The sequence below is a fragment of the Homo sapiens genome, chromosome X, assembly GCF_000001405.40.
Source record: "Homo sapiens chromosome X, GRCh38.p14 Primary Assembly".
Classification (NCBI taxonomy): Eukaryota; Metazoa; Chordata; class Mammalia; order Primates; family Hominidae; genus Homo; species Homo sapiens.
In genome coordinates, this window is record NC_000023.11 from 8334857 (window position 1) to 8352354 (window position 17498).

The window sequence follows — 17498 nt, forward strand, 5'->3', positions numbered from 1 at the left end:
GTTAAAATGATCTATTCCAGATATACAGTTAAGAAATGGAGAAATAGACACGGGACGCAATACTGGTCATATCTGACTTCTTGTAAAGTAGACTCATGTCAGACCTCTAGTATCAACTAACCCCATAATGTCACGCTCTGACAGTGCTGCTTCTCAGATGTAGCATCTACTAAACCTTAAACAACTCAGGTCTATCCATTTCCTTGGTGCACAATAACTCTTTCCAGGAGGGAGATCATAGTACATACATATTTGAGATATTATTGAAGGACATCTTTTCGAGGACTTTCAGCCCCCCCATTCAGTCCAGGGGCTCTGAATCTAAGGACTGACACGGGTCTTGAAATTCGTGAAGGATGAGAACTCTTATGTCAGTTCACATGAGGACTCTCTTTGCCAGTTTGGGATTTTTTGTTTATTTCTTTATACAAAGCAATGAAGAGTTTGGGGCACTATGCATCTTCTTTGCTGGTAGGGATTTTTCAATCATTTGCCACCTCCACGTATCCTGTGGGGCAGACTCTTTCTAATTCTCATGCCTGCTCTGCTGCTACTCTGACAACCAGGTTATCTTGCTGTGGATGTCTAAGATACTTATTCCCTTAAAAGCAGGGGCCCTGTTTCCAGCTCTCCCACCAGCCTCTCCATTCTGCATAAAACAAGTCGTTACAGAACTATTCATGGATGATGCCACTTTCCTCGACAACTTACAAAAGGAACCTACCCTACTGGTCATCTCAGGAAAGATAATTACAGGGTAGGTGGCAGTTGCTTATGATCAATCCACTCCAACAGGCATGGTCCCTACAGACTCTCTCCCCAAAGTGGAAATAAGTGGCTGCCTTGGCTCCAAGGAGAGGCTGCAGCTTAGTGTACTCTCAACTTCCCAAACCTCCTCATAGGCCTTGATTTAAATTCTGAGGGCCCCTCATTTTCCTCTATCTGGAGCCTTACTTTCTTATAAGAAAACCGGTTAAGCTACCCATTCAATCAACATGGTTATTCAACTAAGATTGCCATTTTGTGACCTAGGAGGTCAAGCCCTTTGCTCTTTGGCCATCTCAGCATTATAGCTGCAGAGGATAAGACAGTCTTCTCAGTACAGGCACAGAAACTCCCTGATAATTGACCATCCCTATGTGATAAATTCTCCATAAAAATATGAAAAGTATGGGGTTAAGTTTCTTTCACCGTGACGAACAGATCCATGTGCCAGGAGGGTGGCTCATCTCAGCTGCACAGGGACAGAAGCATCTGTGCTGGGGACCCTCACCCTATGTCTCTCTTTTTCTGGCTCTTCACGTGTATCCTTCATCGTATCCTTTATTAATATATTAAACTGGTAAACATAAATGTTTCCCTGAGTTCTGTGAGTCATTCTTGCAAATGTATTGAACCTGAGTAGAGGGTCATGGGAATTCTGATTTATAGGTGGTTATTCAGAAGCACAGAGGAACAACCATTGGCCTGTAATTAGTGTTTAAAGTGGGGGTGGAGGGAGCAGTTTTGTGGGACTGAGCCCTTAACCTCTGAGACTGATACTATTTCCAGGTAGTGTCAGAATTGAGTTACATTGTAGGATGCCCTGCTGATGTTGCAGAATTGCTTCACATTTTGGTGACCAGAAGTGTGTTGTATTGGGACTATAGTAAGAGAAACAGTTGGTTATTTTTTACCTTACCCACATATACATATATAAATTAAAAGTATTAACTCAAATGTTTTCCTTTTCTCTGGTTACCACTGTCCCTGTGGCAGAAGAAAAAAAAAAAAGCTTTCTCCATCAAGAGAGCATTTATTAAACTGATAAAATATTTTAACCTTCCTTGTAATTCTGAGTACTGAAGAGATTGCCTCAATACAGGAAGCTTTTAATCTGAATGCTTTGTTTTATGCTAACCACATCTAATAATACTTCTGAAGCTTTTATGGATTTTCTACAGTCTGATTATTTTTTAAAAAATGGATTGATGAACGTTTTTCTCATTTTCCCACTCATGTGGTAACAGTTGATGCATCTGGCACAGGGGTAACCAGCAAAGCAATAAACAGATAGAAGGAAGGATGGTTCTTTGACTTTCCATTTAAAAGGAAAAAAAACCTCTTATAACAAGAAAGCGCATTCATGTTCTTTACCTTCTCAGTGGTGGCTGCTGTGTTTGGTTGGTTTGATAGAATGCTCCGTAAGTACTGTTTTGAGATCTGCCAAAATACGCATGAATCCATCCACATCTCTTCATCCACTTCTGCCCCACAAAAGTCATTATCCTCATTTGCCTTGACGATTCCAACAGCTTCTTCACAAATGACTCTTCTTCTCTTGCAGCACTGCAAATCATCTTCCTCATGCCTTTCAGCATGCTTTTTAAAGCATAAATATGATCATGGCATTCCCTGTTTAAGCCCCTTTACAGGCATCTACTGTGTGCAGAATAAGGTCAGTACATCATCACACAGCTTTCCTGGTCTCTGACCTCATTGTGTACCGTGCTCTCCTTTGCGTATGAAGCACATGATCTTCACTCTGCTCCTCCAACATGAACTGCCAAGTGCTCTCATGCCTCAGGAACGTTGCATCTGCTGTTCCTTCCTTCAGGGAAGCTCTTCCTCCAGACCTTCACCTATAATACCTGGCTCCTTTATCACTAAGTTTAAATTCCAATGTCCTCTCCTCAGGGAGGGTTTCCCTGAGCATCCCATCTTAAGAGGTTCACACCCACTGTTGCATGACCCTGTCTTATTGTTTCCACAGCATTTATCACCCTCTGAAATCATTTTTTATTGACACACACAATGTGTCTGCAGGGATGCAGGCTGGAGTACAGTGGTGCCATCATAGCTTACAGCAGCCTCGAACTCCTGGGCTCAAGAGATCCTCCTGCTTCAGCCTCCTAAGTAGCTGGTACTACAGGCAAGTGCCACCACACCCAGCTACTTTTTATTTTTATTATTGTAGAGACAGGGTCTCCCTATGTTGCCCAGGCTGGTCTTGAACTCCTGACCTCAAGTGATCTTCCTCCCGTGACATCTCAAAGTGCTGGGATTATAGGTGTGACCAACTGTGCCCAGCCAGTAATGCAATATTGATAAAAGGTTAGGAATTATTGCCTTGTTCTGTAAATAACCAGGATCTACAATATTGTTTCATACACAGTCAAACTTCAACAAGTATCTGTTGAGCTGAATTTCTTTGAGATGATTTAATAGAGCCATTCACTCTCTGAACATTTGTAAAACATCTCAGACTTCCCCTACTGAGTAACTGTGAGGAATAAATAGACAATGTTTTGAGGGAACTTGGTGCACAACAGCTATTCAGTAAATAATTAACGTATGCAGATTTCAAGGATATCTTTTGGCGCTCTCTTTTCCATCATTTCAGTTGAGACAGAGATGATTTGCATCTTTCGTATTAGTTTCAGTCTCCAGTAAGAAGGAAAAAAAAATGACCCAGCTCTGTCTATAGTCCCCACAGATGAGCAAACATGGACTCAGATGGCTGTCTAAGATGGGACGAAAAGCAGAATAAGGGAGGAATGCACAACTGAAGAAAACGTCACCGTTTGGTCATTCATAAGATTTTCCTAGACAATTCTGGCTTTTCTTTACCATTTACCTTAAAGTATTGAGATGTGACAATTGAATGCCAGGGAAGAGTTAACAGGTTCACTCATGGTTAACTGTCAATAGCCTTCTATTCTGTTTGCCAAGTTAATTTGATTTCCCCATCTCCTGACTAAACAAAATTGGATTAGAGCAGGAAAATGGGTAGATATGGAACATGGAAGCCCACGTATGGGTCTCCGAATGAAGGCTAGGCAGGGAGTGGGCAGTGTGAGGGCAAGTGAATTTGGGGAGAAGATAAGAGCACCCCAAAGTACAAGACTATGTTTACAAGTCTCAAGTTTACCAATGAGATTGAGGAACAATGAAAACCAAATGACCTGCATCTGCATTTCTCCCCACGAGGACCATGAGCCCAGTGGTCCATGGAGGAGCCAGAAGTCCCAGAGACCAAGGTGCTGCTCTGTCCTCACTGGTCCAGCCCCTGCCGCCATGCTCAGATGTCCAGTCACTAGTGGATCCTGAGACATAGGGCAGACCACAGACCCCAGTGTCCGCCTCTGGGAAAATGCTCAGCAGATTATCCATGAAGAAATAATCCTGACTTAAACTGGAAGAAGAACAAATAGCTTGTTCTGTGACAGAAATTGGTGGCAGCCAAGGGCTGGAAGGAGTTTATTTGGTGAGCAACCACCCCAGCTAGCCTGGGATTGAGGGGTTTCCTGAAACCCAGGACAAAATTGAGCTAGTCACCCTTAAGCCCAAAGCAGATTTTTGAAGGGAGGTAGTGTAATTTTCTTGTAACACTTGTATAAAGTATGAGGCTAATTAGAAAGCTAACATAAAGCAGGTAAACCTGTATTTAGCATTTTTTAAAAAAAACTCTGCACTGTACTGGATTGAATAATGCCACCCAAAATTTGTGTCTACCCAGAACCTGTGAATGGGACCTTATTTGGAAATAGGTGTTTACTAATGTAATCAAGGCAGATTGAGGTCATGCTAATGTAGGGTGGGACCTAAATGCAATGACTGATGTCCTTATAAGAAGTGGGAAATATGGTCAGGTGCAGTGGCTCATGCCTGTAATGCCAGCACATTGGGAGGCCAAGGCGGGAGGATGGCTTAAACCCAGGAGCTGGAGACCATCTGGAGCAGCATGATGAAACCCCATCTCTACAATAAATAATTTTTAAAAAATTAGCCAGGCATGGTGGCATGTGCCTTTGGTCCCAGCTACAAGAGAGGCTGAGGCAGGAGGATCACCTGATCCCAGGAGTTGAAAGCTACAGTGAGTCATGTTCACTGCACTCCAGCCTGGGCAAAATTTGAGCAAGAGCCTGTCAAAAAAAAAAAAAAAGAAGAAAAAGAAAGAAGAGGGAAATATGGACACAGAGATACAGACGGAGGAACATGCCTTATAATAATAGACACAGAGATTGAAGTGATACATCTACAAACCAATGAATGTCAAGGACTTCTAGCAACCACAAAGATTTAGAAGAGGCAAGGAAGGATTGTCCTAAAAGCCTTCAGAGAGAGCACAGCTCTGCTGACCCCTTGATTTTAGACTTGTAGCCTCCAGAAATGTGAGATAACACATTTAGTTTGCTTTAAGTCACCCCATTTGTGATAATGTATTACAGCAGCCACTGGAAACGAATACAAATACAAAAGAAATTTTCATTCCTGTGCCTCTAACAGGGACATCAAATGTAAGAAGCAAGGGATCTGGACTATTCTGTCATCGTTCACAGTGCCCTGTCTTCCGGGCATCCATGGAGCGTAATGCGCTGTTGCTTAATTAAATGCCACATCCAGGCACTGTCAAGATGATAAGTGTGTTTTCTTGCACTGCTATAAAGAAATACCAGAGACTGGGTAATTTATAAAGAAAGGGCTTTAATTGGCTCATGGTTCCGCAAGCTGTACAGGAAGCATAGCAGCTTCTGCTGAGCTTCTGGGGAGGCCTCAGGGTACTTACGATCATGGCAGAAGGCGAAGGGGAAAAAGGAGCGTCTTACCTGGCTGGAGCAGGAGCAAGTTGCGGGACATTGCCACACACTCTTAAAAAACCAGATCTCCTGAGAATTCACTCTTTATCACAAGAACAGCACCAAGGGGGAAATTCGCCCCCATGACCCAGTCCCCTCCCACCAGGCCCCACCTCCAATATTGGGGATTACAAAGGGACATCAAATTTGGGTGGGGGGACACAGATCCAAACCATACCAATAAGTTACTTTCTCTAGAAGTCTTACTAATGTCTTTTTTTGAGACAAAGTCTTGCTTTGTCGCCCATGCTGGAGTGCAGTGGCGTGATCTTGGCTCACTGCAACTTCCACTTCCCTAGTTCAAGTGATTCTCCTGCCTCAGCCTCCCAAGTAGCTGGGATTACAGGCATGTGCCATCACAGCTGGCTAATTTTTGTATTTTTAGGAGAGATGGGGGTTTCCCCATGTTGGGCAGGCTGGTCTCAAACCCCTGACCTCAGGTGATTTGCCCACCTCGGCCTCCCAAAGTGCTGGGACTACAGGTGTGAGCCACTGGTGACTGGCCTTAGAAGTCTTGCTAACTTCCTGATTCCATTCTATTAGCTCTGCTAGAAGCCCAGGTCCTTCTGAATCCAATGAGGTAACATTGTAAACAAGAACTAATTTGAGTTGATGCTACACCCTTGAATGATACCTACTTTTTTTAAGTGACCTTAATCAAAATATAGAACTTTTCAGGCAAAATACACAGTAACAAAACGACTGGGGCACATCTTGGGGTGAGACGTATACACAGTGTGAAGTTTTTGAAAACTGGATCCTCTAACACTGGACATCTGAGAGAGATGCTCTTTTCAAAGATCACTATTTACATCCAACTATGGGCAGGAACAATTTCCTGTTCATTTTTGCAAGTCAGTGTCATCTATTGGGATCTCAAGGGACATTTGTGAAATGAATGCATATGTGGTCAAAAATGACTTCGGAAAGTTTAGCAAAGCCATTGTGACAGCAACTCTATTGGGAGCTGTCCCTGATACCCCAGATGGGTTCCTATGTCTATAAGTCTCTCTATAACTAGAGCACAACATGGTATAATTTTTTGTGTGGTTCTTTGAAGACTTCTAAAGGGCAGGAACTGTCTTTCTTTCTCTTTCTTTCTTTCTCTTTCTTTCTTTCTTTCTTTCTTTCTTTCTTTCTTTCTTTCTTTCTTTTTTCTTTCTTTCCTTTCTTTCCTTCTTTCTTTCACCCCCAGTGCCTAACAGTATCAAGGATGTAGAATGTGATTTATATAACCATTTGTTGAATAAATCTACTAATAAATGACTAAATAAATGAAGCCCACAATTTTGACTCTGCATCATCCTTACATGCCAAGATTATGAGTGCAGAGAAGAAGTTCTAAGTCTTGCTTGTTCTTTTGTTATTTCCAAATTGGACAAGAGTGTTGGTAACTCTGCATAGAAATAAATATCTAAGCTGGAAATGTTTCTAACAACTCAGCATGCTGCATACATTCAGCCATGGGACTTCTCGTCTTCTTCATTTCGGGAAACCATAAATAACCCAGGAGAGGGGGGTATCACTGCTCTGCACCCACAGGATGCCAAATTGTGTTGTCTGACTTGAATAGCTGCTTGCAAGCACGTTGCCTTGAATCATTGCCTCCCTCCTCCTGCTTCTCCTCCTCCTCTTTCTCTTCCTCCTCTTTTTCTTTTAATTTCTTGAATCTCTTGCCACCAGCACTACCTCCACCTCTGTGATTTCTTCAATTCCTCCATTTCCTGATTTCCTGTCTGCTTTCAGGCTTTCTAATTAATGTCCCAAGATGGCTTCCATGCCACCCTGGATGGAGTTTAGGTTTTCTCCCTGTGCTTTCACGATCTGTGCCAGGTCTTTGTGACTCATCAGACTTCCCTTTTCCACCTACGTAAGTGTGTCCTCGGTACACATTACCCAAGCAAATTATCCTGTAGTTAGCTAATCCTCCTACCCTCTCCAGAGTTTCCCCCGGGGTTACACCCACCCAAGGCTGGAATAGGCTCCAGCATATTATGATTGTTATTTAGTCACCTGAGATGTGTAGGCTCCAGTGGAAGCTCTGATGCTACTGCAGCAAGAGTATGGTACATGTCCTGGTTTGTCTGGGCTGCCCCAGCAGCACTGGGGACCAGATTCTAAACAGAGAATGTATTTCTGGGGATATCTTAACCCATGCCGTGCCTTGGACTGAATACATAGAATGACTCTATTTGATGGAACCTAGGAAGGTAAATAAAGATCCAAAGCAGTTCATTTATTTATACAATCAATGTCTAGCAAGTGCCTACTATTTGCCAGGCAGCAGGCCCTGTACTAGGTATACTGCAATAACCCTGAGATTTGCTATTTCTTCTTTCCTTGTGCTTATAACTTACCGGGAGTCAAAATGTGACTATTTAAACAGGCTGGGCACAGTGGTTTATGCCTGTAATCACAGCACTGTGGGAGGCCAAGGTGGGAGGATCACTTGAGCCCAAGAGTTCAAGACCAGCTGGGGCAACATAATGAGATCCCGGGCTATACAAAGTAATTAAAAATAGCAAGCTGTGATGATACCTGCCTTTCTTTGGTCTCTGCTACTTGGGGGGCTAAAGTGGGAGGATCATGGGCTCAGGAGGTCGAGGCTGCAGTGAGCAGTGATCATGCCACTGCCACTGCACTTCAACCTGGGTGATAGAGGAAGACCCTGTTTCAAAAAAAGAAAAAAAGAAAGAAAGAAAAAGAAAACTGTATAAAAAAACTATTTAAACAAATACACAAGTACAAAATGGGATAAAGCTAATAATTGAAGGACAAGGAATGAGCCATGCTAAGATACAGAGAGAGAGCATTTCAGGTAGAGGTTAAAAGCATATGCAAGGGCCCTGTGGTAAGAGAGTCATTTTATATATTTTATTTGAAGCAAAGGAAAATATGGTGGCTGGGTTGAGAGACAATAGGTTGGGGAAGGGGACCACCTTGAATTCCATAAATTACTTATTTTCTCAGACTCATTCAGTGACCATTCATATTTTAATTTGAGGTTATCTATGTTGACATACCCTTAAAGTAATTGATTATAACAAACATATCTGCTCTGAAGGTTTTTTTTCCTGTGTCTTACTTTGGTTTTATTTTAATTTATTTATTTACTTACTTATTTTGAGACAAGTTCTCCCTCTATTCCCCAGGCTGGAATGCAGTGATGTGATCATAACTCACTGCAGCCTCAAACACCTAGGCTCAAAGCCATCCTCTTGCCTCAGCCTCGCAAGTAGCTGGGACTATAAGCATGTGCTACCACACCCAGGTAATTCTTGAATTCTTTGTAAAGATTGGGTATCACCATGTTGCCGGGTTGGTCTCAAACTCCTGGGCTCAAGCTATCCTCCCTCCTTGGCCTTCCAAGGTGCTGGAATTACAGGAGTGAGCCACTGCACCTAAACTGTTTTGTTTTGTTTTTTCACGAGATAGTTGAACAACTAATTTTCAATATTCCTTCCATCCATAAAGTTATATAATACAAAGACTCCTGTCTCAATAGAAAAGGAAAGAGAACTAATACTATTGTAAACCTTCTGTATATCGGGCATAGAAATCAGTGATTTACATGGGATTTATCAAACTAGCCACAGAAATTGTTCATTCAAAATCAGGGCAAGGCTGGGCACAGTGGCTCGCGCCTATAATCCCAGCACTCTGGGAGGCCGAGGCGGGCGGATCACTTGAGGTCAGGAGTTTGAGATCAGTCTGCCCAACATGGCGAAACCCCATCTCTACTAAAAATACAAAAATTAGCCGGGCGTGTTGGCAGGCACCTGTAATCCCAGCTACTTGGGAGGCTGAGGCAGGAGAATCGCTTGAGCCCAGGAAGTAGAGGTTGCAGTGTGCCAAGATCACACCGCTGTGCTCCACCCTGGGAGACAGAGTGAGACTCTGTCTCAAACAAAAGAAAACAAAACCAAATCAGGACAAGCTCAGGTGTGCTTGTTTAACACACAAGTAATTCGTTTCAAGATAGGTAGGTAGATAGATAGATATTAGATAGATTAATAGATAATACACAGATGATAGATAATAGATAGATGGATAGTTTGGTGGGCTCTGCATGCAAAATTTTGGGTAAGGCAGATAGTTCATTCTTATCTCTTATTTCCCTATGCATGAATAAGTCTATCTGATTTGGCATGCTCTGGTTTGTTGAAATGGTAAAATTGTATAATGTGTAAATTCACCATAAATTAAGGTCCCCAGGAAGTTAGAAATATGTCCCCCAAGGGATGGAATTTTGTTCCAATTTTTCCAGCTATCCAATTCATCTTCCAAGATACTTGAGGCTTATCATCAAATTTGATGTTATACTCTTCTCTATGCATGAGATGACATTCAGGAATAAAGTTTTTTTAAAAAAATATCTTTGGCCTTTAGACAACTAAGCATTTTGAAAGCTGTAATTCTTTACCCCTCCTCATACAATTTGCCTCTCTGCCGAGTACTTCACCCAAACTTTGTGATGTATGGCGAATAGTACTAATTTCATGTTGGTCGAATTATTCATGCATTTTAGTGATTCATTTTATTCCTCAAAATGGAGGCACATAAGGGAAATTCCCAGCCTTCTGAAGGGGGCATTCATGCTCCCCAGATTCAGCAGAAAATGTGTAGGTTTTTCATCCATAATTCATCATTATAAGGCGGCCTCCTGCCCAGGCATATTCGAGCACTGTGACTCGCTCACGCAAGATCAGACAAGGTTGTTAAATCACGGTTTATTTTTCTGTGAACCAAAATCATCCTTCAGGCTAATCCGGGCTGCTGTTGGTTTATTTGTACCTTCCACATCTAAGCTTCCAACTTGGACGATATTTTAAAGATGTTGGTGGACCCCAAGGTATGCAATGGCTTAAGTTTAACAGACCAAAGACGCACGGGAAATTAATTAGAGTCTTTCATGGCAGGAAATATTTCTGTGATTAATACTGTGTAATGGGAATGTGAACACAATCGAGAAAATGAACTAGATCCTGAGGGCTGGTATGAAAATACCAGCTGGGAAAGTTTAATTCGGGGCCAGACTCCAATTAAAGGCTCTCCACTGTGCTGTCTGTGGTTTTTATTGGCTCCTGGAGGAGAAGCAAGGAGCACTGGATTCTCCATTGAGAAATCAGGGTCCCAGTCCTGGCCGGAGCCAACTGTGTGATCCTAAGAAAGCCCCATGACTCACCTGGAACTCAGATGCACCATCAGTGAAATGAGTCATCTGGTGAGACCCTTTGATCTCCTCTGCATGACTTGATGCATAGCTTAGCCTGCAATGGTTAAGCAGTGTCCACCTCTTCATGCTCAGCACCCACGGGCACCTAAAAGGTACTGAATTGATGGATTTTAACTGAAGACAAGCTGGCCAGTCCATACACCAACACACTCGGTTCCTGTTTCAGGATTAAGGGCTTCTCCGTCACCCCACACAGCCTCTGCCATTTGGGATGTGAGGCGGAAGTCGGTAGACCAGGATCTGACAACTCAGTAAGCTAAATCTAGGGCCAGACCAGACCTCCCAGCATCTCAACATGTTTCTCCCAATAAAGGTCTAGCTGTTTCCCATGGAGAGTCACCTCAACATTCCACTCCACCATCTGCATTTATAGATCTTTATTGGTGCAGAAGGATGGTATAGAAATGGCTGGGCCAAAAACCTCAGGTTAGGACCCTGCTACTAAGTGAGGTCCCCAGACCCACTGCATCAGCATCTCCCGGAAGCATGCTAGAAATACACTGACTCAGACTTCACTCAGACCTGCTCAATCAGCATGCCCCTTTTCATACCACAGTGGTAACTTCATGTGTCAACCTGACTGGGCCACTTTATGCCTGCATAAATGGTTAAACATTATTTCTGGGTGTGTCTGTGAGGGTATTTCCACAGTACATTAGCATTTGACATGGTAGGCTGATAAAGAACACACACCCTCCCCAATATCAGGGTGGGCACCATCCAATCCACTGATGGCCTCTAGAACAGAAAGGCAGAGAATGGTTGGATTCTCCTTCTCTTTCCCTGGCTGCTTGAGCTGGGACATCAGTCTTCGAATCTTTGAGCCCTGGGTGCTCCTGGTTCTCAGGCTTTCAGACCCAGACTGGAATCTACACCATTGGCTCTTGGGTTCTCAGACCTTCGAACTACATCACCAGCTTTCCTGGGTCTCCAGGCTGCAGAAGGCAGACTGTGGGCCTTCTCAGCCTCCATAATTGCATGAGCCAATATCTTATAATAACTCTCTTTATGTGTGTGTGTATTCTAAATATATGTACACACATGCATGCACGTGCGCGCACACACACACACACACACACGTTAGGCATCTAAAATATGTAGATATAGATACATAGATCCTATTAGCTCTGTTTCTCTGAAGAACACCAAGTGATTTGAGTTTGGGAAACACTACCTTAGATCACTCCATTGGTTCATTAGGGGAGAGTCATTGCCTAGCTTACCACCAATTTTTGTGATTACGATCAATTTGTTGCAACCAATTTTTATGATTACAGTTACTTTGGGATCAACTTGCATAAACTTCTCAGTCCAGCTCTCCCTCCTACTTAACTTGGATGAGACTAACTGTATGGGGGAGGAGTGTGCACGTGCCTCTGTGTGCAAATGGGTGTGTCCATGTATACACATGCCAGAACAGGGGAGGCTGGGAGGAGTAACTGTTTTCTTCCAAGTAGCTTAACAGACTTCTTAGCCATTTGCAAAGGTGCCCACATTGTCCACCTTACAGCAGACACCCCAAATGAATCCTTCTCACACAGCGAAGACAGGTTTACCTGGCAGATGGGAGGGTTGCCCATACTGATGCAGCACTGCACTTTAATGATGCTGCCTGAGGCTGCGTGTTTTTATAACTTGTATGCAGAAAAACCTACTTCCTCATAACATCCCTGTTTCTCAGAAATACCTTGCTTGCCTACAGTAAATGCAATTCTAGTGTAGTATAACAATTCTAGCATAACGTGCTAACTATTTTAACAAGTAGGTATGGAGGAGAGGAAGCCTGTCCCGAAACTGCAAGATGGTTATGGTTCCCTGTTAAATATCCCAAAACACATTTTTTACTTCACCCTTTTTTCCACTTAAAAAAATCTTGTTATTATCTTTTTGTGTTCCCGTTAAATCTATAATATGATGAAGTCTGGGAAGGCAGAGATTATGCCAGCTTCTTGTTACAAATCTAGCATTGTCAGATTTGGCAAATAGAAGTATAGGATTGAGTTAAATTTGAATTTCGGGAAACAATGATTTTATTTTTTATTATAGGTATACCCCATACGGTTTTTGAAACATACTTATATTTTAAATATGTTCATTGTTTCTCTGAAGTTCTAATTTAATATGGCATCTTGTATTTAATCTGGCAACCTTATCCAGGTGTCAGCATTCAACATAGTAGCCAGTCCAGATTAGATGTTCTATAAATCTGAACATTTGTGTTTTCACTGTACATACAAGGCAGAGGACTGAATATGTGAAATATATAAAGGAAACAGATAATGGGGGAGAAAAGTACACTGAGCAATGAGAAATCAGGACATAGCTTGTTTTAACCAACCTGGAAAACCATTAGGAAAAGCTTATAAAAGGACAGCATTAATGGATGAGTTACTCCAGTGAGAAAAAAGGGGGCAAGCACCCTTAGGGAAGTTAAACTGTGGCTTCGAGCTCCTACAAGAGTCAACCTTACTTAAGGGGGATTGGGGGATTTCTGCAAATAAATCATACAGAGTGAATTAGCTCATAAAATGTTTTGGTGGCTTCTTAGGTGACCTATGACATTGTTTACTGGCAAAACTGAAGACACTAATAATATATACCTGTTTCTTCAGGAAATTCAGTCAATTTAGACATACAAAGAGTGAAGGTAGATGTCTTAGTCTGTTCAGGCTGCTATAACAAAATACCATAGCTTGGGTGGCTTATAAACAACAGACATTTCTCACAGTTCTGGATGCTGGAAGTCCCAGATTGAAGTGTGGCAGATTTAATGTCTGGTGAAGACCCGCTTCCTGGTTCATAGCGCCTTTTCTCTGTGTCTTCACATGGTGGAAGGGGTGAGGGAGCTCTCTGGGGTCTCTTTTATAAGGGCACTAATCCCATTCATGAGGCTCTACCCTCATGATCTCATCACCTCCCAAAGGACCAACTCCTAATGCCATCACTTTGGGGGTTAGGATTTCAATATAAGCATTTTGGTGGGAGGGACATAGACGTTTAGACCATAGCAATAGAGATAAAACAAACATCAAGAAATAACTTTCATGTTAAAACAGAAAGATGGCTGTAAATGAATGTATTAAATAACGTAATAAATATATTTAATAACAAATAATGTAATTTGTTACATTAGGTAATATAAGCAACTATTAAATTCAGGGAAACTAACCATCCAATCCAGTGTAATATTTAATATTTAACCCACAGGTAGTAGGTTGCTTCCTTATCCCCAACTTCTCACCCTTCCCTATGTCCTTGTCTTTATCATGTATCTATGTGGCTGTACTCTGTGGTCATGGTGTTCTTTCTAACCCTGGTCTCTGGTCTCTGCCACGTGACTTACTTTGGCAAATGAGATGTTACCAGCCTCTATGCAAGTGGAACATTGGGAAGTTCTTGCCTGATCAGGCTGGAGTTCTCTTTTGTATCTCTGCAAATGGTATAAGACTATGTCCAACCTAGTGAAAGATGTATTAGTGCATTTTCATACTGCCATGAAGAAATATCCAAGACTGGGTAATTTATAAAGAAAAAGAGGTTTAATGGACTCATGGTTCCATATGGTCCCTTACAATCATGGCAGAAGGTGAAGGAGGAGCAAAGGCTCATCTTACATGGTGGCAGGCAAGAGAGCATGTACAGGGGAACTGCCCTTTATAAAACCATCAGCTCTCATGAGACTTATTCACTATCATGAGAACAGCATGGGAAAAACCTGCCCCCATAATTCAATTACTTCCCACCAGGTCCCTCCTGTGACATGTGGGGATTGTGGAAGTTACAATTCAAGATAAAGTTTGGGTGGGAACACAGCCAAACTGTAACAAAGGGCTAAGAAAATATTTTCCCTTTGCCCTCTGAAGCTTTACTGAAAAAAATCACTGACAAGGGGCAGACTAATAGAAAAAAAAAACATACAAATTTATTAATGTGTACCCAGGAGCCTTTAGAATGAAGACCCAAAGATACAGGGGAAGTTGACCATTTTTATGCTTAGGTTCAACAAAGTATGGACAGCCATGTAGAAATAGGACTGGACCAAAAGGGTCTAACCTAATGCTAATCAGCTGAGTGGGGAAACCCAGCAAGACCTGTCTGTCTGAATTCTTGTTGGCCTCTCTGAGCAACACTTCTTCCTTCTGGGTATGGGGTGGGACCCTCTCTGGAATGGGGGTCTTAGGACCTGCAGTCAAACCCAGTAGGTCAGATCATTATTTGTGACCTGTTTCTACACAAACAGGTGAAACAAAAGTAGAGTCCTATTTTTAGGTTTTGTGGCTGGCTGTTGGGAAAGAGGGTTCTGGTTTCTAGGACCTGCCTTGTGGAAGAGAAATTCTAGTTTTTATGACGCCTGTCAGGAGGATGGAACTGAGAGATAGGAGGGCAAGAGGAGGTCAGAGAGAAACTTTTGCTTTTGAGGCTGCCTCTGAGGCCTTTGTTTTGGGGTATCATTTTCTGAGTCCCAATACTGGTCTACTCAAGGATTAGAGGAACCTGCAGCATTGCAAAGCCAGTCAACAGGGAAACCTCTCTATGGTTATGAGTAAGCTCAGCTGACCTCCACAGAACCACCTTGCTGACTCCCTGCTGGCTCCAGATAGGTAAGTAATACACACTCTTGTCTTCCCCTGAGCCATGTGGTTGGTTGTTGTGCAGCAGCAGCATGGCAATAGGTAACTGATACTAGAACAGAACAAACTGGAAATAAACTTAGGAACACAGTTAGAGTTACAACATCCTATTTCTCTGCTCCTCCCCCTCCCACACTGTAGGAAATCTAATTCCTGTTGCCTATCACCCAATAATTCTTGTCATCCTGAGTAAAGTGTTCCTGTGTGATTGGTAAGCTCGTCCTGCTGCCTTGTAGAGCACATCCACTTTGATCCTCCTCCTTGAGTTAGCTGTGGTGAGGTTTCCTAATGCTGAAAATACTGAGGTTCCTTCTCTGTAACCGATACCTCCCCAAAGATCCTCAGTACTTCCCAATGATGATACCATCACCACTGATGCCAATGTCCATGATGACACTGCCCTTGCCTGTTTCCAAGAGCACAGAGGCCACTTTGCCTAACAACGGTCTTCCCATCACCTGCAATGCCCATTAGTGTCCACAAAGATTTTACTAAAGCTCACAAACAACTCCTCACTTAGATTTTTCTGTTTAGCTTTATCAAGAACAAAGTGGGCTAAGCATGGTGGCACATGCCCGTAGTTCCAGCTGCTTGAGAGGCTTGTTTGAGCCAGGAGTTCAAGACCAGACTGGACAACACAGCTAGACCATATCTTTTAAAAATATATTTTTAATTAGCTGGGTGTGGTGGATGCACCTATCATCCTGACTACTTAGGCTGGAGAATCACCCGAGCCCAAGAACTTGAGGCTGCAGTGAGCTATGATCGTACTACTGCACTCAAGCTTGGACAACAGAGCAAGAACCCATCTCAAAAAAAAAAAAAAAAAAAAAAAAAAACCAAGGAGAATGAAGTGGTGGTACGCTTCAACTTTCTTACATGCATTGAGATAATATATTCAGCATAAATTTAATAATCTTGTATGATGGTGGCTGCTGTTACATATTACCACAAATTCAGTGGCTTAAAACAAGACACATTTATTCCCTCCAGTTCTGAAGTTTACAAGTACAAAATCAGCATCACTGAGCTGAAATCAAGCTGCTGGCAGGGCCACCCTCCCCTCTAAGGCTGTAGGGGGAGAGTCTGTTCCTTGCCTATTCCAGAGTCTGGTGGCTGATGGAATTCCTTGGCTTGTGCCACATGACTTCAATATCTGCCTCTGGCATTCCATTACCTTTCTCCTCTTCTGTGTGTGCCCAACCTCGCTCTACCTCTCTCCTTGGTGTGGCCATTGCTAATATCCATTTTAAGTTGCTTCCCCCTTACATTCAGTCATGGCATGATTCACTTCTTGTATCAAGTATCTATTGCCACATGGCTGTGTAACAACCAATGTCTCCCTGTTGTAGCTTTATTCTTCAGCAAAGTGTTTTATCTGTAATTAATGCTCAAATCAATATGTTTTTAAAGGGAAAAATAAATGGTTCCTGGTGAATGAACTGGATTTAATCCTTTTATTCTCTGAATTAGTATGTCTCTATTGCATTCACATGTACCTTGGCTCTGCAAAGTTCTTTCATCAAAGTCCTGTACATTGATTTTTTTTCTTCTGATATTTTTCCTGTTTATGGATTACAGGGAGAAGCCAGCTTCATTTCATAGTGTCATAAACCTGTTTATTTTACTTGATATTTGAGGCATTGCCTTTCTTTATACTTCAATTTTTGAAAAGATTCATAGAGGATGTGCATTTTTGTTAATTTTTTTGTTAATTTTGTTAATTTTGTCAAGAATTCAATGGACCTACTAATTATATACTTTTCATGTTTAAGCACAGGAATTTTTTTAAATTACAGTATTCATATTTTCTTTCATTCCCATTGCTCTCATCTTTCATTAAGAGCACTGTTGATTCTTGCCAGGGGTAGTGGTGTGCACCTGTAGTCCCACCTGCTCCAGAGGCTGAGGCAAGAGCATGGTTTTAGCCCAGGAGTTCGAGACCAGCTCAGGCAACATAGTGAGACGTGTCTCTAAAACAAAAACCAAAAATCACGAAAGAACACTATTGAT

General features: G+C 42.3%; 1 long non-coding RNA gene across 3 annotated transcripts in view, besides 1 other annotated feature; it reads left to right on the forward strand.

The window, feature by feature from the left end:
- LOC107985675 (uncharacterized) overlaps positions 1-17498 on the forward strand; it is a 528885-nt gene that overhangs the window by 407357 nt on the left and 104030 nt on the right. The window lies entirely within an intron of this gene.
- Positions 10284-11483: an enhancer, noted in NCBI's record as "P300/CBP strongly-dependent group 1 enhancer chrX:8313181-8314380 (GRCh37/hg19 assembly coordinates)". NCBI's record gives its function as "activates an origin of replication core promoter dependent on BRD2, BRD4, P300/CBP, MED14 and CDK7 cofactors, with strong dependence on P300/CBP, by STARR-seq in HCT116 cells {active_cell/tissue: HCT116}" and the evidence as "EXISTENCE:reporter gene assay evidence [ECO:0000049][PMID:35650434]".